The 24668-nt window shown below is 37.8% G+C and overlaps 2 annotated features.

The window, feature by feature from the left end:
- Positions 9494–9995: an enhancer, noted in NCBI's record as "H3K4me1 hESC enhancer chr8:62906743-62907244 (GRCh37/hg19 assembly coordinates)". NCBI's record gives its function as "activates a minimal SCP1, AML or CMV promoter by ChIP-STARR-seq in primed H9 embryonic stem cells {active_cell/tissue: H9 hESC(primed)}" and the evidence as "EXISTENCE:reporter gene assay evidence [ECO:0000049][PMID:30033119]".
- Positions 23660–24202: an enhancer, noted in NCBI's record as "OCT4 hESC enhancer chr8:62892536-62893078 (GRCh37/hg19 assembly coordinates)". NCBI's record gives its function as "activates a minimal SCP1, AML or CMV promoter by ChIP-STARR-seq in primed H9 embryonic stem cells {active_cell/tissue: H9 hESC(primed)}" and the evidence as "EXISTENCE:reporter gene assay evidence [ECO:0000049][PMID:30033119]".

The raw sequence follows: 24668 nt of genomic DNA, 5'->3' as shown, positions 1-24668 counted from the left end.
TTTGCTCTTCACAATAAATCTTGCTGCTGCTCACTCTTTGGGTCTGTGCCACCTTTAAGAGCTGTAACACTCACCGTGAAGGTCTGCGGCTTCATTCTTGAAGTCAGCGAGACCATGAACCCACCGGAAGGAACCAACTCCAGACACAATTTGACCTCAAGTTCACTGATTCTATCCTCTATAATTTCCACTGTACTATTGAGCTCCCAGTGAGGTTTTTTTTTTTTTTAAATTTTAATTATTTTGTTTTTTGTTCCATAATTCTTATTTAGGTCTTTTTTATAACATTTCTTTTTTGGGATTTTCTATCTTTTTGCTTCAAGAGAATTTATAAGTCAGTGTTGAAGCATTTTTATGTTTGCTTTAAAATTCTCATTAGATAATTCCAATACACGATTCATCTTGGCGTGAATTGATTGTATTTCTCTTTCAAGTTTGATTTTCCTGATTCTTGATATGATGGGTATTGTATCCTGCTCATTTTGTCTATTACATTAGGAGACTCTGAGTCTGATTTAAATCTCTTATTTTAGTAAGAGTCACCCTGTTTAGATGTATTATGTGGGTCTAGAGCTACTTTTAAATTTTCAGAACCTTTGTGGTGTCATTTTGGTCTGCTTGGATAATCTGCTGTCGCTGGGGCTCCCACTAGTCCTTCTTGTTAGTACTGCCTGAAGAGACAAAAAGGGTTTCCCTGGGCCAGGCAGCCTGATATCTCTCAGTGGGGAAGAGGAGTCTCAGGCCTGGTCCATAAACACCAGGAAGCTTCCCTGGTCTGATTGGTTGTTGGGGTGAAATCTGTCCTGCCACTGTTGCCTGTTCCACCCCCATGTCTTCCACTGGGGAGAGGAGAAAAGAGATTCCCGTGCTGTTAACTGTTAGTGGGGCTCTGATAATCGCCCGTTCTCGTGGTGCAGGGCTCCCCCACTGTTGTAGGAGGGACTTCCATTCAACCTGAGATATAATGAGTCTACTTGGGCTGCCTGCTGTTGCTAGGTTGTGGTGGGGAAGTGCCAAGCCAGATCATCTTTTTCCCTTTTTCTGATAGGTGTTCTTCCTTCAGTCTTGGTTCCAAAGCACGCTTTCTCTCTCCACCCTTGAGAGCTCTCCTTTGGTTTTCTCTTACATTATTTCCAGTGTTTATAGTTGTACTTACCAAGGATGTGCAGGGAGAAATGAGTCTATGCCATCTCATTATATCATACTAATCGAATTAGTTTTTCAAAAAGAATCTCTTCCTAATTCAGTTTTTCACTGAAGGCCCATGTATTGTTCACTCATAGTATGCAGAGTTCTACACTAGGTTTAGGGTGGCGGGGGTGGTGGTGCTTTCTACACCATTATCAGGCAATAGTTCCTACCCCTGGATTTTTTGTAATCTTATTGAGGGCAATGATGCCAACAAACAGGGACAGAAAAGTAAAGGAAACAAGTAAAATATAATAGTGGCAAATAACTATACATGTACAAAGTGATAGTGCACATGATAAACTTTATATGTAGGGGATGAAATATTGATCAAAGACAATAAAGGAAAGAATAGAATGAGAAAATTTAAGGAAGTTTTGCCACAATATTAAAATTAGGAGCAGAAAGACATTTAATAAGACATCTCCTTTTAAGTTTACATATCACTTTGTAGCTCATGCCCCAGGCTCTGCCTCACTTCATCAGAGTGAGCTTGAGTATCCACCATACCATCTGTCCTGGGAAAGGTCTTATCTGGTGAGATTTGTGGCTCTTGTTCATCACATCCTTTATCTGCCACTTTCATTTATGACTGTGCTTCTATGCACCCTTCCTTTATTGTCTATACTGTGTGTCCCTGATGGGACAAAAATCATCTGATGTTTGGTATTTTTGATTTATGGCCTATTAGTGAAATTCAGCAGTGATTGCACTTTCATATTTAAGTACATTAAGCATCCAAGGAATAGAGGCTAATATAATTACCAGGTTTCCATGAGACCTGGAACCATAATCACAAAATTCTTAAGTAGCTTTACCTGGTTCTTCTAATTTTGTTTCTTTTGAGAGAAATTTATTCCTTGCTGTAATTTTCCTAAGTATAACATTATCTATTTTCCTCTTTTACCAGTCTTATTCATATAGAGACATCTCTAGACATACCATTTGGACATTTCACTAACAGAATCATTATTTTTTATGGAGGAATTGCTATGGGTAAAGCATCGTGTTAAGTATTGGATATAACTTATACATGGATTCTGCCCTTATTTGTCTACCATCTAATAATGTTTGTCAGAATATTTACATAAATGCCTTTGTTTTAAGTATCCAAAGAGGAATTACACAAAAGAGTATTCAGGGGGAGAGAGAGATTCCTTTGGACTGGGTAGAGAAGTGAATATCTCAAAGCAGGACTGGCATTTATAATATGCCTTTCTGTATGTCAGGAAACAACAGATGCTGGAGAGGATGTGGAGAAATAGGAATGCTTTTATACTCTTGGTGGGAGTCTAAGTTAGTTCAACCATTGTGGAAGACAGTGTGGTGATTCCTTAAGGATCTAGAAACAGAAATACCATTTGACCCAGCAATCCCATTAGATATACCCAAAGGATTATAAATCACTCTACTATAAAGAAACATGCACATGTATGTTTGTTGCAGCACTGTTCACAATAGCAAAGACTTGGAACCAACCCAAATGCCCATCAATGATAGACCGCATAAAGAAAATGTGGCACGTATACACCATGGAATACTATGCAGCCATAAAAAATGAGTTCATGTCCTTTGCAGGGACTTGGATGAAGCTGGAAACCATCATTCTCAGCAAACTAACACAGGAACAGAAATCCAAACACCACATGTTCTCACTCGTAAGTGGGAGTTGAACAATGAGAACACATGTACACAGAGAGGGGAACATCACACACAGGGGCCTGTCAGGGAGTGAAGGGGAAGGAGAGGGAGAGCATTAGGACAAATACCTAATGCCTACAGGGCTTAAAACCTAGATGATGGGTTGATGGGTGCAGCAAACCACCAGGGCACATGTATACCTATGTAAAAAACCTGCACGTTCTGCACATGTATCCCAGAATTTAAAGTAAATTTTTTTTTAAAAAGAATGAAAGCTCAAACATTGCTATGGATCCTGAATATCAAAAAGACAATAAAGACATATTGTGAACAACTTTATTCCATTTAGTTCAACAGCTTAAATAAAACAGGCAAATTCTAGATAGATACAAATTTTTCAGACTCACTAATGAATAGAGAAATATGAATAGCTACATATCTATTAAACAATTGAATTCATAATGATAAACATTCTCATTCTGAAATTTTCAGGACCAGAGAGGTTTCTTGTTGAATATTCCTGGGAAGAAATAAATAATACCAATTCTTCACAAAATATTTTAAAAACATGGAGAAACATGTTCCTACTCATTTTAAGAGGTCAGTATTGCTGTGATATCAAAACATTGAGGAGATATTCTAAGAAAAGAAAATTATGGACAGTATCTTTCAAGGTTGTAGATGCAAAAATTCATAAGAAAATGTTAGCAAATCACATCTACTATTATTATGTATGTTAATAATTTGTGACTTTTTCAACAAATGGTACTAGGACAACTGGATATCCACGTGCAAAAGAATGAAGTTGGACCCTTACTTTATGCAATATATAAAACTCAGCTAAAAATTGAATAAAAGCTTAAATGTAAGAGATAATACTCTTAGAAGAAAGTATAGGGTTAAATCTGCATGACTTCAAATTTGGAAATGTATTTTTAGACATGACATCAATGTATAAACAACAGCAATTACAAAACAGATAACCATAAGAAATTAAAACTTTTTTCTTTTTTTTTAAGTTTTTTTTCTTTTATTATTATACTTTAAGTTGTAGGGTACATGTGCACATTGTGCAGGTTAGTTACATATGTATACATGTGCCATGCTGGTGCACTGCACCCACTAACTGGTCATCTAGCATTAGGTATATCTCCCAATGCTATCCCTCCCCCCTCCCCCGACCCCACAACAGTCCCCAGAGTGTGATGTTCCCCTTCCTGTGTCCATGTGATCTCATTGTTCAATTCCCACCTGTGAGTGAGAATATGCGGTGTTTGGTTTTTTGTTCTTGCGATAGTTTACTGAGAATGATGATTTCCAATTTCATCCATGTCCCTACAAAGGACATGAACTCATCATTTTTTATGGCTGCATAGTATTCCAAGGTGTATATGTGCCAAATTTTCTTAATCCAGTCTATCATTGTTGGACATTTGGGTTGGTTCCAAATCTTTGCTATTGTGAATAATGCCACAATAAACATACATGTGCATGTGTCTTTATAGCAGCATGATTTATAGTCCTTTGGGTATATACTCAGTAATGGGATGGCTGGGTCAAATGGTATTTCTAGTTCTAGATCCCTGAGGAATCGCCACACTGACTTCCACAATGGTTGAACTAGTTTACAGTCTCACCAACAGTGCAAAAGTGTTCCTATTTCTCCACATCCTCTCCAGCACCTGTTGTTTCCTGACTTTTTAATGATCACCATTCTAACTGTTGTCAGATGGTATCTCATTGTGGTTTTGATTTGCATTCCTCTGATGGCCAGTGATGATGAGCATTTTTTCATGTGTTTTTTCGCTGCATAAATGTCTTCTTTTGAGAAGTGTCTGTTCATGTCCTTTGCCCACTTTTTGACGGGGTTGTTTGTTTTTTTCTTGTAAATTTGTTTGAGTTCATTGTAGATTCTGGATATTAGCCCTTTGTCAGATGAGTAGGTTGCAAAAATTTTCTCCCATTTTGTAAGTTGCCTGTTCACTCTGATGGTAGTTTCTTTTGCTGTGCAGAAGCTCTTTAGTTTAATTAGATCCCATTTGTCAATTTTGTTTTTTGTTGCCATTAATTTTGGTGTTTTAGACATGAAGTCCTTGCCCATGCCTATGTCCTGAATGGTAATGCCTAGGTTTTCTTCTAGGGTTTTTATGGTTTTAGGTCTAATGTTTAAGTCTTTAATCCATCTTGAATTGATTTTTGTATAAGGTGTAAGGAAGGGATCCAGTTTCAGCTTTCTACATATGGCTAGCCAGTTTTCCCAGCACCATTTATTAAATAGGGAATCCTTTCCCTATTGCTTGTTTTTCTCAGGTTTGTCAAAGATAAGATAGTTGTAGAAATGCGACGTTATTTCTGAGGGCTCTGTTCTGTTCCATTGATCTATATCTCTGTTTTGGTACCACTACCATGCTGTTTTGGTTACTGTAGCCTTGTAGAGTAGTTTGAGGTCAGGTAGTGTGATGCCTCCAGCTTTGTTCTTTTGGCTTAGGATTGACTTGGCGATGCGGGCTCTTTTTTGGTTCCATATGAACATTAAAGTAGATTTTTCCAATTCTGTGAATAAAGTCATTGGTAGCTTGATGGGGATGGCATTAAATCTGTAAATTACCTTGGGCAGTATGGCCATTTTCACAATATTGATTCTTCCTACCCATGAGCATGGAATGTTCTTCCATTTGTTTGTATCCTCTTTTATTTCCTTGAGCAGTGGTTTGTAGTTCTCCTTGAAGAGGTCCTTCACATCCCTTGTAAGTTGGATTCCTAGGTATTTTATTCTCTTTGAAGCAATTGTGAATGGGAGTTCACTCATGATTTGGCTCTCTGTTTGTCTGTTGTTGGTGTATAAGAATGCTTGTGATTTTTGTACATCGATTTTGTATCCTGAGACTTTGCTGAAGTTGCTTATCAGCTTAAGGAGATTTTGGGCTGAGACAATGGGGTTTTCTAGATATATAATCATGTTGTCTGCAAACAGGGATAATTTGACTTCCTCTTTTCCTAATTGAATACCCTTTATTTCCTTCTCCTGCCTAATTGCCCTGGCCAGAACTTCCAACACTATATTGAATAGGAGTGGTGAGAGAGGGCATCCCTGTCTTGTGGCAGTTTTCAAAGGGAATGCTTCCAGTTTTTGCCCATTCAGTTTGATATTGGCTGTGGGTTTGTCATAGATAGCTCTTATTATTTTGAAATACGTCCCATCAATACCTAATTTATTGAGAGTTTTTAGCATGAAGGGTTGTTGAATTTTGTCAAAGGCCTTTTCTGCATCTATTGAGATAATCATGTGGTTTTTGTCTTTGGCTCTGTTTATATGCTGGATTACATTTATTGATTTGCGTATATTGAACCAGCCTTGCATCCCAGGGATGAAGCCCACTTGATCATGGTGGATAAGCTTTTTGATGTGCTGCTGGATTCGGTTTGCCAGTATTTTATTGAGGATTTTTGCATCAATGTTCATCAGGGATATTGGTCTAAAATTCTCTTTTTTTGTTGTGTCTCTGCCCAGCTTTGGTATCAGAATGATGCTGGCCTCATAAAATGAGTTAGGGAGGATTCCCTCTTTTTCTATTGATTGGAATAGTTTCAGAAGGAATGGTACCAGTTCCTCCTTGTACCTCTGGTAGAATTCGGCTGTGAATCCATCTGGTCCTGGACTCTTTTTGGTTGGTAAGCTATTGATTATTGCCACAATTTCAGATCCTGTTATTGGTCTATTCAGAGATTCAACTTCTTCCTGGTTTAGTCTTGGGAGAGTGTATGTGTCCAGGAATTTATCCATTTCTTCTAGATTTTCTAGTTTATTTGCATAGAGGTGTTTGTAGTATTCTCTGATGGTAGTTTGTATTTCTGTGGGATCGGTGGTGATATCCCCTTTATCATTTTTTATTGCGTCTATTTGATTCTTCTTTTTTTCTTTATCAGTCTTGCTAATGGTCTATCTATTTTGTTGATCCTTTCAAAAAACCAGCTCCTGGATTCATTAATTTTTTGAAGGGTTTTTTGTGTCTCTATTTCCTTCAGTTCTGCTCTGATTTTAGTTATTTCTTGCCTTCTGCTAGGTTTTGAATGTGTTTGCTCTTGCTTTTCTAGTTCTTTTAATTGTGATGTTAGGGTGTCAATTTTGGATCTTTCCTGCTTTCTCTTGTGGGCATTTAGTGCTATAAATTTCCCTCTACACACTGCTTTGAATGCGTCCCAGAGATTCTGGTATGTTGTGTCTTTGTTCTCGTTGGTTTCAAAGATCTTTATTTCTGCCTTCATTTCGTTATGTACCCTGTAGTCATTCAGGAGCAGGTTGTTCAACTTCCATGTAGTTGAGCGGTTTTGAGTGAGATTCTTAATCCTGAGTTCTAGTTTGATTGCACTGTGGTCTGAGAGATAGTTTGTTATAATTTCTGTTCTTTTACATTTGCTGAGGAGAGCTTTACTTCCAAGTATGTGGTCAATTTTGGAATAGGTGTGGTGTGGTGCTGAAAAAAAATGTATATTCTGTTGATTTGGGGTGGAGAGTTCTGTAGATGTCTATTAGGTCCACTTGGTGCAGAGCTGAGTTCAATTCCTGGGTATCCTTGTTGACTTTCTGTCTCGTTGATCTGTCTAATGTTGACAGTGGGGTGTTAAAGTCTCCCATTATTAATCTGTGGGAGCCTAAGTCTCTTTGTAGGTCACTCAGGACTTGCTTTATGAATCTGGGTGCTCCTGTGTTGGGTGCATATATATTTAGGATAGTTAGCTCTTCTTGTTGAATTGATCCCTTCACCATTATGTAATGGCCTTCTTTGTCTCTTTTGATCTTTGTTGGTTTAAAGTCTGTCTTATCAGAGACTAGGATTGCAACCCCTGCCTTTTTTCATTTTCCATTTGCTTGGTAGATTTTCCTCCATCCTTTTATTTTGAGCCTATGTGTGTCTCTGCACATGAGATGGGTTTCCTGAATACAGCACACTGATGGGTCTTGACTCTTTATCCAATTTGCCAGTCTGTGTCTTTTAATTGGAGCATTTAGTCCATTTACTTTTAAAGTTAATATTGTTATGTGTGAATTTGATCCTGTCATTATGATGTTAGCTGGTTATTTTGCTTGTTAGTTGATGCAGTTTCTTCCTAGTCTCGATGGTCTTTACATTTTGGCATGATTTTGCAGCGGCTGGTACCTGTTGTTCCTTTCCATGTTTAGCACTTCCTTCAGGAGCTCTTTTAGGGCAGGCCTGGTGGTGACAAAATCTCTCAGCATTTGCTTGTCTGTAAAGTATTTTATTTCTCCTTCACTTATGAAGCTTAGTTTGGCTGGATATGAAATTCTGGGTTGAAAATTCTTTTCCTTAAGAATGTTGAATATTGGCCCCTACTGTCTTCTGGCTTGTAGGGTTTCTGCTGAGAGATCCGATGTTAGTCTGATGGGTTTCCCTTTGAGGGTAACCCGACCTTTCTCTCTGGCTGCCCTTAACATTTTTTCCTTCATTTCAACTTTGGTGAATCTGATAATTACGTGTCTTGGAGTTGCTCTTCTCAAGGAGTATCTTTGTGGCGTTCTCTGTATTTCCTGAATCTGAACATTGGCCTGCCTTGCTAGATTGGGGAAGTTCTCCTGGATAATATCCTGCAGACTGTTTTCCAACTTGGTTCCATTCTCCCCGTCACTTTTAGGTACACCAATCAGACGTAGATTTGGTCTTTTCACATAGTCCCATATTTCTTGGAGGCTTTGCTCATTTCTTTTTATTCTTTTTTCTCTAAACTTCCCTTCTCGCTTCATTTCATTCATTTCATCTTCCATCACTGATACCCTTTCTTCCAGTTGATTGCATCGGCTCCTGAGGCCTCTGCATTCTTTACGTAGTTCTCGAGCCTTGGTTTTCAGCTCCATCAGCTCCTTTAAGCACTTATCTCTATTGGTTATTCTAGTTATATATTCTTTAAATTTTTTTCAAAGTTTTCAACTTCTTTGCCTTTGGTTTGAATGTCCTCCCGTAGCTCAGAGTAATTTGATCATCTGAAACCTTCTTCTCTCAGCTCGTCGAAGTCATTCTCCATCCAGCTTTGTTCCGTTGCTGGTGAGGAGCTGCGTTCCTTTGGAGGAGGAAAGGCGCTTTGCTTTTTAGAGTTTCCAGTTTTTCTATTCTGTTTTTCCCCCATCTTTGTGGTTTTATCTACTTTTGGTCTTTGATGATGGTGATGTACAGATGGGTTTTTGGTGTGGATGTTCTTTCTGTTTGTTAGTTTTCCTTCTAACAGAGAGGACCCTCAGCTGCAGGTCTGTTGGAGTACCCTGCCGTGTGAGGTGTCAGTGTGCCCCTGTTGGGGGGTGCCTCCCAGTTAGGCTGCTAGGGGGTCAGGGGTCAGGCACCCACTTGAGGAGGCAGTCTGCCCCTTCTCAGATCTCCAGCTGCATGCTGGGAGAACCAGTGATCTCTTCAAAGCTGTCAGACAGGGACATTTAAGTCTGCAGAGGTTACTGCTGTCTTTTTGTTTGTCTGTGCCCTGCCCTCAGTGGTGGAGCCTACAGAGGCAGGCAGGCCTCCTTGAGCTGTGGTGGGCTCCACCCAGCTAGAGCTTCCCGGCTGCTGTGTTTACCTAAGCAAGCCTGGGCAATGGTGGGCGCCCCTCGTCCAGCCTCGCTGCCGCCTTGCAGTTTGATCACAGACTGCTGTGCTAGCAATCAGCGAGACTCCGTGGGTGTAGGACCTTCCGAGCCAGGTGTGGGATATAATCTCGTGGTGCGCCGTTTTTTAAGCCCATGGGAAAAGTGCAGCATTCGGGTGGGAGTGACCCGATTTTCCAGGTGCTGTCCGTCACCCCTTTCTTTGACTAGGAAAGGGAACTCCCTGACCCCTTGTGCTTCCTGAGTGAGGCAATGCCTCTCTCTGCTTCGGCTCACGCAGTGCTGCGCACACCCACTGACCTGTGCCCACTGTCTGGCACTCCTAGTGAGATGAACCTGGTACCTCAGATGGAAATGCAGAAATCACCCGTCTTCTGCATTGCTCACGCTGGGAGCTGTAGACTGGAGCTGTTCCTATTCGGCCATCTTGGCTGCTCCCCTAAAACTTTTTTTCTTCAAGTGATACTATCAAAAACTTGAAAACATAACCGACAATATAGGAGAAAATATTTGTAAATCATGTATCTGATGGGGGACTTGTATCTAGGATATATAAAGAATTCTTATGAATGCAAATGCAAATCAAGACATCAATGAAACACCAATTCAGAAGCACTAGGATGACGACAATCAAAAAGACGTGATATTTCTGGTTCTAGATCCTTGAGGAATCGCCACACTGTCTTCCACTATGGTTGAACTAATTTACATTCCCACCAACAGTGTAAAAGCATTCCGATTTCTCCACATCCTTGCCAGCATCTGTTGTTTCCTGACTTTTTACTGATTGCCATTCTAACTGGTGTGAGATGGCATCTCATCGTGGTTTTGATTTGCATTTCTCTAATGACCAGTGATGATGAGCTTTTTTCATATGTTTGTTGGCTTCATAAATATCTTCTTTTGAGAAGTGTCTGTTCATATCCTTCACCCATTTTTTGATGGGGTTGTTTGTTTGTTTCTTGTAAATTTGTTTATGTTCCTTGTAGATTCTGGATATTAGACCTTGTCAGATAGATAGATTGCAAACATTTTCTCTCATTCTGTATGTTGCCTGTTCAGTCTGATGATAGTTTCTTTTGCTATGCAGAAACTCTTTAGTTTAATTATAACCCATTTGTCAATTTTGGCTTTTGTTGCCCTTGCTTTTGGTGTTTTAGTCATGAAGTCTTTGCCCATGCCTATGTCCTGAATGGTATTGCCTATGTTTTCTTCCAGGGTTTTTACTGTTTTAGGTCTTACATTTAAGTCTTTAATTCATCTTGAGAATTTTTGTGTAAGGTGTAAGGAGGGGGTCCAGTTTCTGTTTCCTGCATATGGCTAGCCAGTTTTCCCAACACCATTTATTAAATAGGGAATCCTTTCCCCATTGCTTGTTTTTGTCAGGTTTGTCAAAGATCAGATGGTTGTACATGTATGGCATTATTTATGAGGCACTGTTCTCTTCCACTCATCTATATATCTGTTTTGGTACCAATACCATGCTGTTTTGGTACCAATACCATGCTGTTTTGGTTACTGTAGCCTTGTAGTATAGGTTGAAGTCACATGGAATGATGCCTCCAGCTTTGTTCTTTTTGCTTAGGGTTATCTTGGCTATGTGAGCTCTTTTTGATTCCATATGAAATTTAAAGTAGTTTTTTCTAGTTCTGTGAAGAAAGTCAATGGTAGCTTGATGGGAATGCCATTGAATCTATAAATTACTTTGTCCATTTTCATGATATTGATTCTTCCTATCCATGAGCATGGATTGTTTTTCCATTTGTATCCTCTCTTATTTCATTGAGCAGTGGTTTGTAGTTCTCCTTGAAGAGGTCCTTCACATCCCTTGTAAGTTGTATTTTTAGGTATTTTATTCTTGGTAGCAGTTGTGAATGGGAGTTCATTCATGGTTTGGCTCTCTGTTTGTCTATTATTGGTGTATAAAAATGCTTGTGATTTTTGCACATTGATTTTGTATCCTGAGACTTTGCTGAAATTTCTTACCAGCTTAAGAAGATTTTGGGCTGAGACAATGGGGTTTTCTAAATATCCAATCATGTCATCTGCAAACAGAGACAATTTGACTTCCTCTCTTCCTGTTTGAATACCCTTTGTTTCTTCCTCTTCCCTGATTGCCCTAACTAGAACTTCCCATACTATGTTGAATAGGAGTGGTGAGAGAGGGCATCCTTGTCTTGTGCCGGTTTTCAAAGGGAATGTTTCCAGCTTTTGCCCATTTAGTATGATATTGGCTGTGGGTTTGTCATAAATAGCTCTTAATGTTTTGAGATACATTCCATCAATACCTAGTTTATTGAGAGTTTTTTAGCATGAAAGGGTGTTGAATTTTATTGAAGGCTTTTCTATGTCTGTTGAGATAATCATGTGGTTTTTGTCATTGGTTCTGTTTATTTGATGGATTATGTTTATTGATATGTGTCTGTTGAACCAGCTTTGCATCCCAGGTATGAAGCCAACTTGATCGTGGTTGATAAGGATTTTGATGTGCTGCTGGATTCGGTTTGCCAGTATTTTATTGAGGATTTTCACATCGATGTTCATCAGGGATATTGGCCTGAAATTTTCTTTTTTGTTGTGTCTCTGCCAGGTTTTGGTATCAGGATGATGCCGTCCTCATAAAATGAGTTAGGAAGGATTTCCTGTTTTTCTATTGTTTGGAATCATTTCAGAAGAAATGGTACCAGCTCCTCTTTGTATCTCTGGTAGAATTCGTCTATGAATCTGTCTGGTCCCGGAATCCCATAACAGGGTATGTACCCAAAGGATTATAAATCATTCTACTATAAAGACACATGCACACGTATGTTTATTCCAGCACTATTCACAATAGCAAAGACTTGGAACCAACCTGAATGTCCATCAATGATAGACTGGATAAAGAAAATGTGGCACATATACACCATGGAATAGTATGCAGCCATGAAAAATGATGAGTGCATGTCCTTTGCAGGGATATGGATGAAGCTGGAAACCATCATTCTCAGCAAACTAACACAGGAAAACACCACATGTTCTCACTCATAAGTGGGAGTTGAACAATGAGAACACATGGACACAGGGAGAGGAATATCACACAACAGGGCCTGTCGGGGAGTGGAGGGCTAGGGGAAGGATAGCATTAGGAGAAATACCTAATATGGATGACAGGTTGATGGGTGCAGCAAACCACCATGACATGTGTATACCTATGTAACAAACCTGCACGTTCTGCACAAAAAAAGACAGATGATTACAAATGTTGAGTATGTGGAATATCAGAAGTGTTTTACTTTGTGGGCCTGAATGTAAAATGATGCAGACACTTAGAAAAATACTCTGGTAATTTCTCAAATAGTAAACATAGAATTACCCTATGACCAAGCATTCCCACTTTTATGTGTATATTCAAGAGAAAATAATATATGTCTACACAAACACTTGTACACAACTGTTCATAACCACATTATTCATAATAGCCAAATGGTGGAAACAACCCAAATGTTCACCAACTGATTAATTGATAAATAAAAGGTGGCATATCTATACAATGGGGGTAATTTGCTACAACATGGATGAACCCTGGAAACATCATGCCAAGTGAAATAAGCCACTAATGAAAGACCACATATTATATGATTTACTATATGACATATTTAGAATAGGCAAATCAATAGAGACAGAAAATAGATGAATGATTACTTCTGTCTGGAGAGGTTGGGAGAATAGAAATAGTAACTAAACAGTACTGGCTTGCTTTTTGAGGCGGTAAAAATGTTGCCAAATAGACTGTGGTGATGGTTGCACAACCCAGTGAGTATACTAAAAACCACTAAACTGTACACTTTAGGTGAATTTTATAGCACATGAAGTTTATCTTATAAAGCTGGCATAGGAATAATAATGATTTTCCTAATGACTGAAAATACTGAGCAAACTTTTTATTCACTTATTTGCCATTCCTGCATCCTTTTTGGTGGAGTGTCTGTCCAAACCTTTAACCTATTTTCTTAATTGTGCGTTTTGTCTTCTATTATTGATTTGCAAGAATTTCATGTTCTTTGTTTATTGTAGATACAAGTTTATTATCACCTATACTCTTTTGCAAATATTTTCTCCCATTTGTGGCTTTTATTTCCTTTTATTAATAGTGCCTTTAATGAGAAAAAGCTTTAAATTATGAAATACAATTTATCATGTAAGACTTCTTGGCCTCTATAGTTGCATGGGCCAATTCTCATAATCAAACTTCTCTTGTATATCTATATATATTCTATTGGTTCTGTTTCTCTTAAAAATCCTAAGATATGTATAAACATATGCATATATGTGCATACATACATTTCATCCTATTTTTGTGTGCACATACATTTCCACAGACAGATAGGCTTAAAGACTTTAAGATTACAAACTTATAGATTTTTAAAAATCTTTAAGCCTATAAATATGTGTTTATAAATGTATGCACATATGTTTATACATGTATTTGTACACAAATACTATATTTGTATAAATGTATGTACAAATAGTTTCTATCCTTGATACACACATACATATGTACATGTATATATGCAGAGAAGACAGAAAACATTAAAACAAATAAAACAAAATACAAACAATTGTTGAATTTCCTAAATTGATTATTTTTAATTGACAAAAATTGTACGTATTTATTGTGTACGGCATATTTTGAAATATGTATAAATCATAGAATGGCTAAATCAAGCAAATTAACATGCGTATTACCTCACATAGTTACCATTTTTTGAGGGGACAATACTTAAAATCTACTCGCTTAGAGATTTTCAAGAATACAATATGTTGTTATTAGCTATAGTCACCGTGTTGTACAATAATCTCTTGACCTTATTCCTCCTATCTAACTGGAATTTCATACCCTTTGACCAACCTCTCCCCAACTTCCCCACTCCCAACCCCTGATCACCATCTTTGTACTCTATGCTTCTATGAGATCCACTTTGTTAGATTCTACATTTAAGTGAGATCTTTGTATGCCTGGCTTATTTCATTAACATGATGGCTTATTTTATTAACATGATGTCCTCCAGGTTCATCCATCTTGTCTCAAATGACAAGCCTTTTTTTAAAGGCTGATTAGTATTCCTCTGTGTATATATAACACATTTTCTTTATCCTTTCATCCATTGATGAACATTTAGGTTGATTCCATATTCTGGTTACTGTGAAGAGTGCTGCAATGAACATGGGAGAGCAGATATCTCTCCAACATACTAATTTCATTTCCTTTACAGATGCACTCATGAATGGGATTTCTGGATCATATGATAGTTCTATTTTTCATATTTTGAGGAACCTCCATACTGTTTTCCATAATGACTGTGCTAGTTTTTACCTTCCCACCAAGAGTGTGCAAGAGTCCCCTTTTCTCTACAATTGCTGAATTTGATTTAAAAATATGAGATTTCTTTGTGCTATATTCCAGGTTTCTATACATTTAAAATCATATCAAAGTTTTTAAAGTCTGATATAGATCCTAGACTTATATAGGAAGCAAAAGTCAATTATCTTGAGAATGGAGAAGACAGATTCACACACTGAAATCTATTCAGTAAGAAATAATGAACTATATAATATACATTTGTCTGAGTCCACTCAGGCTGCTATAACAAAATACCTGACACCAGGTAATTTATAAAGAACAGAAATGTATCTCTCACTGTTCTGGAGGCTGGGCATCCGAGGACAAGGCACTGGCAGCTTTAGTTTTCTGGCACGGGCTGCTCTCTGCTTCACAGTTGGAGGAAAGAACACCGTGTACTCACGTGATGAAAGGCAAAAGGGTAAGAGCACCAAAGAAATACCGTGTGAAGCCTTTTTTATAAGGACCCTTATAGTCCTTATAAGGAATTAACCTCATGACCGAATTACCTCCTAAAGGCCCCATCTCTTAATACTATGACAACAACCATTGTTTCAACACTTGCATTTTGGAGGGGACCCATTCAAACCATAGCAATGTTGCAACAGGATAAACCCCCAAAATCTTATGTTGTATGAAACAAACAGATGTAAAATTCATACTGTATGATTTCATTTATGTATGACTCAAGAACAGGTAAAATGAATTAACTTATGAAGATGAAAATTAGAAGTTTTTGCCTAAAGGGAATAGGGACTTAATGGCAAGACAGCATGAAGGAACATTCTGAGGTGATGAAAATATTCCATCCTCACAGGAATAGTGGTTACCCTGGTGTGTAAATTCATCAAAACATCAAATTGTATGCTAAAAATCTGTACATTTCAGTACACATGAATTTAATCTACTTTTTAAAAAGTCACTATACAATGTTCACAATTAAAAGCAGAAAGAGAGGACTGGGCGCGGTGGCTCATGCCTGTAATCCCAGCACTTTGGGAGGATGAGGTGGGTGGTTCACGAGGTCAGGAGATCGAGACCATCCTGGCTGACACAGTGAAACCCCGTCTTCACTAAAAATACAAAAAAAACTAGCCAGGCGGGGTGGCACGTGCCTGTAATCCCAGTTACTTGGGAGGCTGAGGCAGGAGAATAGCTTGAACCCAGGAGGAGGAGGTTGCAGTGAGCTGAGATTGCACCATTGCGCTCCAGCCTGGTGACAGAGAGAGACTCTGTCTAAAAAAGAGAAGAAGAAAAAAAAAGCAGAAAGAGAAAATTAAACATTAAACAGTTTTAGCCATGCTTTTGAGTTATTCGTGAAACTTCACCTTTATAACCTCAGGTAATGTTTCCCTAACCTGTGTTTAATTCTGATTATTGGCTTATTCTCAGCTCTATTCCGTGAGTTACCACTTTAAATACATTATTTGTAGTAGCACTAGCTACTTATATTAATAGCACAAGCTACTACTATATTCATAGGCAGACTAACTTTAAAAATTGCCTTTTAACTTTTCTAGCAGTCAGGAACTGATATTCTTAATCTCAATGCTTACTAGCTTTGGGATTTGGAAACAGCCTAACATGCTTGGACCACAGCTCTCCTGAGATTTAAGTAGGTCAGCTCTAGGATTATTTACAGTTTCCAATACTAATACTTAATTTCAACCTCAAAGTATCACGTGGAAAGTGTTCCTCTTAGAGTCTCAGTCATAATACTTCACGTAGACCATCATTCCTGAATAGAACATATACACACTAGGATTTTTGCATGAAAAAAATAAGTTGAATTCAACATTACTTCCCTTGAAGAGGTTCCAATACCCTTGTAGTTAAGGCTGCTGCAGTGTTAACACATTACAGACAGAAAAAGTAAAACATCGCTAGCATTACAAAATGTCTAGGAAGAGACAAAGAGGTAAGCTGACTTGCTGAAGTTCTCTAGATGATTCACTTACAGAACTGAGAGCAGAAATTTTGTATCTTCTGTTTGATTCCCTCTAGTGGTGTAGTGTCCTCTCAGAAGGGTCAGATTCAATGTTCAGATTCTTAGAAAGGTGTCATCATGAAAAACAAAACAAAACAAAAATATTCACATCAACAAGGAGCCACCTGTCACTCCACATTTTATTTTCTCTGCAGATTAGAATCTATACGAACACACCTATGATTCATGCATGTCACCCTAGAGGGAGCCACCTAGCATGTGCCTGGTGTCATGAAAGGACACTCTCAAGGAGATGTCCAAGGAGACAAACAGAAATCTTCTACACTTGGTGATGGAAGTGAATGTCTTCATGGAAGGCATGAAAAACTCCACATTGCTGTGGGTATCTCTGACTGATCAGCTTCCACCTGCCTGTGTGGGATTCTGATAATGGGCCTATTTTCAGGTCTAACCCACGATCTGTAACTTAAAAAAAAAAACTTTTCAAGATTATTCTGAATTTAATATTTTCATTTCCAGGCAGCTGTTTCCAAAATTACTGTCTGAGCTTTCAATTAGTCAGAAACTTGATATGAATTTAGCCTTTGAATCTCAAGACACAAGTCACAGACCTGTTCTTTTATGTCATAATTAGCATAGCTCTCTGCAGATAGGCCTAATTCTGGAAACCTTCCCAGACTAGCTATATATCCTGAGGAATTCAAAAATTCCTTTTTCAGTATTCTTTTATTCACATTGCATCTCCTGGTGTACCATTTTCAAATCTGGAACAAAAGATAAAGGAGAAACCTTGAAGACATTATGCTGAGTGAAATAAGACAGACCAAAGAGAACAAATAGTATATGATTCTGTTTAGATGAGGTACCTAGAATAGTGAAATACATAGAAACAAAAAGTAGAATAGTGGTTATCAGAAACTAGGAGAGAGGAAATGAGGAGTTACTGTTTAATGGGTTCAGAGTTTCAGTGTGGGATGATGAAAAAGTTCCAAATATACATTGTGGAGATGGTTGCACAACAATGCGAATGTAATTAATGCCACTGAACTATAAACTTAAATGATTAGAGTAATAAATTTTATGTTATGTACATTTTATCACAACAAAAGGGAAGAAATTTAAATTAGCTTATTCATATACATTAGCTGTCCCACTACCTTCGATTTGTAAAAAGCTGCTGATGGTGCTGCTTTGGGTGCTGCTGATGTTTGGGTAATTTTCATTGCGTGGCATCTTTACACTGCCAAGTTTATATGTAGAAATGTTTTTATCACTTACATAATAAAAAATGTTCATCAGGTAATATAATCAGTAGTGAAAATGTACACACGGGGCTCATACATTGCTAATGTGCTAAGAAGGTAGAAAATGAGCATAGACATGTCTTAAATCTCAAGAATTTGTATTACAAAGTTTCAAGAACACACCTTTCAAATATTCTATATATGACCAACCCATATGAAAACAAAAAATGCGTACGTGGAGAAAAAAATGTCATCTAAGATGTAGATCTTCACCCTCCCCATCACTGGTTAGAACCCTACTGGAAAATGATATATATTTCTAGATTATGGAACTGAAGAGGAGTGGAGATACATTCTAGAAAGATGAGAGGGTCATCACAGAGGTTTAAAAGTGTTTAAAGGTGTTTTTAAAGTTTTGGAAACAACATCCATGAGGACAAAATTGATTCAAATTCTTGTAGAACCAGCCACCTATAATCCCAGCTACTCGGGAGACTGACGTGGGCAGAGAGTTTGAAGCCAAAAGTTCAGGAACAGCCTGGTCAAGATAGCAACGTCCTGTCTCTTAAAATACTTAATTAAAAAATACGTAAGTTCATGTGGAAAGAGTACATGACATAAACATGGTTGGAGGAGTCCTTCTCTAATGCAAACAATAGCCAGACGCAGATAAATGGAGTTTGGCTCTAATGAGAGAGATTGTTTAGCTGTAAGAAAGGATTTCTCTCTATTCAGAATAGGAAGTCTCAAGAGCTCTGTCTCTGGAGCTCATCAAAATTAGGGGAAATGTGCTTCTGTCTGGGATGATTTAGTTGCAGCCCTTCCTGAGGGATGGGGGATTGCACCAATCTTCTCTCAGGGTCTCTTCCTGCTCTATGATTCTAGGATAACCCATGGGTAGAGAGGCCACACTACCAGCTGTTTTAAAATATTGTTAGGAAAGCAAATAGTTTGTGTGATTACATGACTAATGTTATAGAATTTGTTGATTTTTTTTGCTTGAAAATGTGCTGATAAACTGAGTAGTATCTTCACTATAAAAATGGGAAAACTCAGCTAGTAGGGAAATTCTTTTCGTAGAAACAATTGTACTCATATTTAATACACATTAAATTATACGTCTATCTTTGAGGGGCATACAAACACCCCATTTAAATGACCAGCAGAGAGCTTCTGAGGCCAGGGACACACTCATGTTAAATTAATTGCAGAGGGGGGTGCCCATGGACCACATTTATGAATAATTATCCTTTGCAAATGATTGGAAATAATCTATAGCATGGCTGAATTATGCACAAAAAGGATCATCTTAAGTTTGTACCTGGGTTGTAGTATCTCATTATTTACTCCATAATTTCTAGCAGTCAGGAACTGATATTCTTAATCTCAATGCTTACTAGCTTTGGGATTTGGAAACAGCCTAACATGCTTGGACCACAGCTCTCCTGAGATTTAAGTAGGTCAGCTCTAGGATTATTTACAGTTTCCAATACTAATACTTAATTTCAACCTCAAAGTATCACGTGGAAAGTGTTTGAGGAATGGGAGAAGGTAGAGGAGGATGAAGCAGACGAAGAGGCAGTTTCATAACTGGAGGAGAAGGTAATATCAGAAGAATCCTGGTAAACCTGTGAAGGCATGCCACGGGGCGAGCATCTCTTTATGTTCTGTTTTGCACATCAGTTTCTTGCTCTTTTTGAGAATATAATAGGCACTGGAACTAGCCTGAGTTATTTACATCAGAAGCTTTTCAACTTACAGTGTTCCCATAGTCTTGTGGCATGTAAGTCATTACAAAAGCATTTGTTCTCATTTATTTGTTCAGCCCATAATTTGTCTACTAATAATGTAATCTGTTTACCATTCAATTTAACCTGAGTGAGTAGCCAATTTCAAGATATTTTAGGTAAATTTATCTTTTGTTAGGTAAGTTATCAACATGTATAGGTCCCTATAGCAATACACATGGAAGATGATCTTTACATGTAACACAATTCAACATTTGGGTTCCCACACCTGCGATCACCCCTGGCATGTCAACATCATGTCCTTTGTAAATCCAGAGAGGACATAGAAGCACAATTGCTTCATAGGTACAATTTTGAATTTGTTCTACTAAAGTTTCAAACTTGCACAACTTAAATCTTTAATATTTAGGAAATACATCTTATGAGCATGTCACAAGTAATAGAACAAGATATGAAGTCAATAATTATGGAGCCATGAATGAGTAGCATTTGTGCTACATACGAATGGAAAGACACTTCAAAGAGCATCTGGTAGTGACCCACAGCCCACCCTACGTAATGACATTTGGTGAAGGAATTCTCTACCTTCAAAGAGTCCAATTGCAAGTGCCAATCATCTGTCTCTTCTTTGTATATAGAAATCTGAACTGTTGTCCTGAAAGAATATGATTCCTCAGAGTCTACTTACATAATCACAATGATGCCTCCTCTATTTGTCAAGACTGTAAACATAGACTTGCCAAGTCCCATTGGAAAGTTAGGCATATTACTTCACTTTCATGACCTTGGCACTTTTGAAGCTTAAAGCTATTTATTTGTGGAATTTGTTTCAACAGGAGTTTTACTGATGCTTTATCTAATTATTTTTAGTTTATTCATATTGGGCAGGGATATCAGAGAAATGATGTTAAGTATGTTTGTTATTGTATTCTATCAGGTGGTACACGTTTTTTTATGTGCACCTTTACTGATGGTGTGAGATCTGCCAGGGTCCACTGTAAAGTAACTTCCTTTCTCTATAATCAATAAGCATTTTGTAGTAGGTTAGTTTCATGTGTCAATGTGGCTAGGCTATAGTACCCAGGTATTTAATCAAATACTAATCTAGGTGTTGCTGTGAAGGTATTTCATAGATGTGGTTAACATCTAAAATCAGTTGACTTTAAGGAGATTACCTCACTAGTGTGGGTTGGACTCGTTCAATCAGGAGAAAGCCTTTTAGAGCAAAACTGTGGAAGAAGAAATTCAGCCTCAGGACTTATCGACTCCTGCCTGAATTTCCATCCCACTGACCTTCCCTGTGTGTTCTGTACTTCCCAGCCCACACAATCTAATGATCCAATTCCTTGAAATAAATCTCTTAATACATGTGTATAATATATTAGTAACAATTAATTATATATCTATTCCTTTAGTTCTGTTTCTTTGGAGAACCCTGATCTGACTGGTAGAGATTTGGATACTGGAAGTGATTTACAAGGAACAGAATCTTAGAGATGAGTTTTCTAAATTGGATCTGTGAAGGTACTTTGAGGTTATGAAATGTTCTGTTCCTCATCAAACTGTGAATTGATCCATTCCTTCATTTCTATCAATATGAATTCATGGTTTTCTAATTTACTGAATGGCTTATAGTATATTTTTGTAACAGTTTTATTGAGATATAATTCATATAGTGTACAATTCACCCACTTAAAGTATACAGTTCACTGGTTTTTAGTGTATTCATAGAATTGTGCAGCCATCTGAATATTTTCCTGGTCATAAAACAAAGTCCTGTACAACTTTAGCTTGCACTGTACCACATTCCCTCTTCTCATCGAGGCTTGGCAAACACTGATTGACTTTGTCTTTAGAGATTTGCCTTTTCCAGACGTTTTATATACATGAAGTCATATAATATGAAGTCTTTGTGACTGGCTTCTTTCACTTCACATTATGTTTTCAAGGTTCATCTGTATTGTAGCATGTATCACTGTGTTGCCAAATGCCAGGGGTTTGGCCTATGTCCAGCTGCTCGCCTCACAGAAAGCCAATCACTGAGACAATGAGTATTGGCAAGGAAGAAAGGCTTTAATGCGGGTGATGTCAGCTGGGAGACTGGAGACCAGTCTCAAACACATCTCCAAAACTGACTTAAGTTAGTGGTTTATATAGCAAAGAATTAGGAAGAGGTAAGAAGAGGAGTTGGTCAGTAGGCAGCAGGTGCATTTCATTGTCCGGATGTTGTGACCTGGGAAGGCTCAATTCATTGCTACTGTCTGGGAGCCCTGATGGTCGGTTTCTTGAGAAAGGAACTTACATAAAACAAATGTGTATTTCTCAAGTCTCAGTTCTATGGGAAAATTGGGCCAATTTCAACTTTATCACTCTTATTTATGTTCAAATGATATTTCATTGTATAGAAAATCACATTTTGTTTATCTTTTAATTACTTGATGGAAATTCAGGTTGTTTCACCTTTTGGCTACTATGGATAATGCTGCTAAAAACATTTGCATCTAAGTTTTTGTGTGGACATATGCTTCCAATTCTGTTGGGTATATGACTATGAGTGGTGTGTATATGCCTATGGTATTGGTGTGTAAAATGGTAACTGTACGTCTAACTTTCTGAGGACCTGCCAGACTGTTTTTCAAAGTGGCTCCATCATTTTATATTCCACAAGCAATGTGTGAGAATTACAATTTCTCCACATTCTCACCAACATTTTCTATTTCGGACCTTTTTATTATAGTCATTATTATACTCATCTTATAATTATAATGGAAATTAAAATACGGTATCTTGCGGTTTTTATTTGCATTTTCCTAATGACTAAAAGCATTGAGCATCTTTCATGCATCATTTATATCTTATTGGCCATTTGTATATTTTCCTTGAAGACTATCTATATAGATCATTAGCTCAATTTTTAATAGTTACTTGTCTTTGTTACTGATTTCTAAGAGTTTTTATATATTCTACATACAAGTCCCTCATAAGATGCTTGATTTGAAAATATCTTCTCCCATTCTGTGAGTTGTCTTTCTTTTTTCTGATAGCACCCATTTAAACACAAAAGCATTTCATATTTTTAAGCCCCAATTTGTATACTTTTTCTTTTGTTGTTTGTGCTTACTGTGTCAAAGCTAAAAACTCAATGCCAAATTTATGGTCCCAAAGATTTACTCCTATGTTTCCTTCTAAGAATTGTATAGTTTTAGTTCTTACATGAGGCCTTCAAGTTTGAGCCAATTTTTGTATTTTGCGTAAAATAAGGTTCAACTTCATATTTTTTGCATGTGGATATCCAGATGCCCCAGCATCACTTATTGAAACGTCTATTCTCCCTTTGTTGAATTGAATGGTGATGTCATAGAAAATGGTGGAGTTGGAAACTAGAAGAATCAGGGCCTTAACTGAACCAACCATTAAGCTGGAAAATCTTACAGAATCAACTTTTCTCGAACTCTTAAATCTAAACAAAAACTTACAGGTGAGTTTTTAATAAAGACAAAAAAAAAGAAAAAGACTGCTGAGTGTCACTGTGGCATTTCTGCTTACTTGTCTACCATCCATCATTCTCCAGTTCAGGAGTGGCTGGATGGACAGCAGCTGACATCACTGGTGAAAGTTGCTGGGGTGAAGGGGAGCAATGTAGATCTTATTTTCCAAAAGTTTTGGTTGTAAATTTTGACCTTTCTGGATATTCCCTGAAGGATTAGCATAGCCTGAATGGGACAAAGGAAAGTTTATCCTCTGGAGCAGCTGGAGCAGCTTTCCAAACATGGCAACATCCACAGTTGCCTGGGGCAAACAATGGCAGATTGGACAAGTATCAGACAGACTCAACAGGCTGGGAAGGAGGTTGAGGAGGAAAATTCTTGGGGGAATAAGGTATTTGAAGGGTTACTATGTACACCAGGGAAGCCAGAATGCAATGCACATAGGGCCAGATGTATGCTCAGAAAATACCTGAGAAGAGCATCAGCTTGCACCTCTGGCTAGTCTGTGAGTTCCATGCAAGCAGGAGGTGAAGCATAAAGCAGAGGTGTATGTAGCCTGGATTAGGGTTGAAGAAGTGCCACAAGTCAGAAGCAATCTGCAGACAGGGAGACAGATTTCTTTTGGTTGGCTGGCTGATTGGTTGGTTGGTTTTGTTTTCCTCCAGGCACTTAAGAAAATCTCTTTCAGCTGTTGGGTTACCGGCTGACATCTGAGGTCACAGAACAGAGGCTTCAGTGACTGCGCATGACAAAGAATACAGCTTTTGCAAAAATAGTTTGCAAAAGTCACTAAACAAATAGATGACTTCAGCCCTCAATCAACAACAGCAAACCTGAAGGAAGGGAAAATCTTATTTACGGAGTTACCTCATTATGATATTCAACATGTCTAGTTTTCAACAACAACAACAAAAAAATGCAAGGTGTAGAAATAGGAAAATACAGGCCATTCACAGGGGAGAAAAAAAGAAAGAAATGGAGAGAAGCTATTTTTTGACGAAGTCCAAGCACTGGATTTATAGAAAAGACTTTAAGTCAACCATAGTGTGAGGTGATTAGAAAATATCATTGGCAATAAACTTTTAATTATATGCTCAGTGTAAAACATTTGAAACTATTTTCATGAGACTGACAATGCCACCAACTCTACTTTTTATTTTTAACGAGTTCTTTTTCTAATTATTGTCTTATATTCAGTTTTGGAAACAAAGCCTTCAACTCTTCCCTTACTCCAGAGAAGGGATAAAGGATAGTTCTCTTAAAATTTGTGTTCTGCATTAGTCTAAAGGGCAATTTCATCTATGCTCTGATTACATAATTGAAAAAATATGAATTTGTAAAGAAAAAAATGGCAATGCTACCAGACCAGTGCAACTGTAAGTGCTGGCTTCTGGCCTGTGTGTGCACTAGTCCACAATGAGGTT

Source organism: Homo sapiens, chromosome 8 (assembly GCF_000001405.40).
Source record: "Homo sapiens chromosome 8, GRCh38.p14 Primary Assembly".
Classification (NCBI taxonomy): Eukaryota; Metazoa; Chordata; class Mammalia; order Primates; family Hominidae; genus Homo; species Homo sapiens.
The sequence above is the reverse complement of the archived record's forward strand: the minus strand, read 5'-3'. Positions and strand labels throughout refer to the sequence as shown.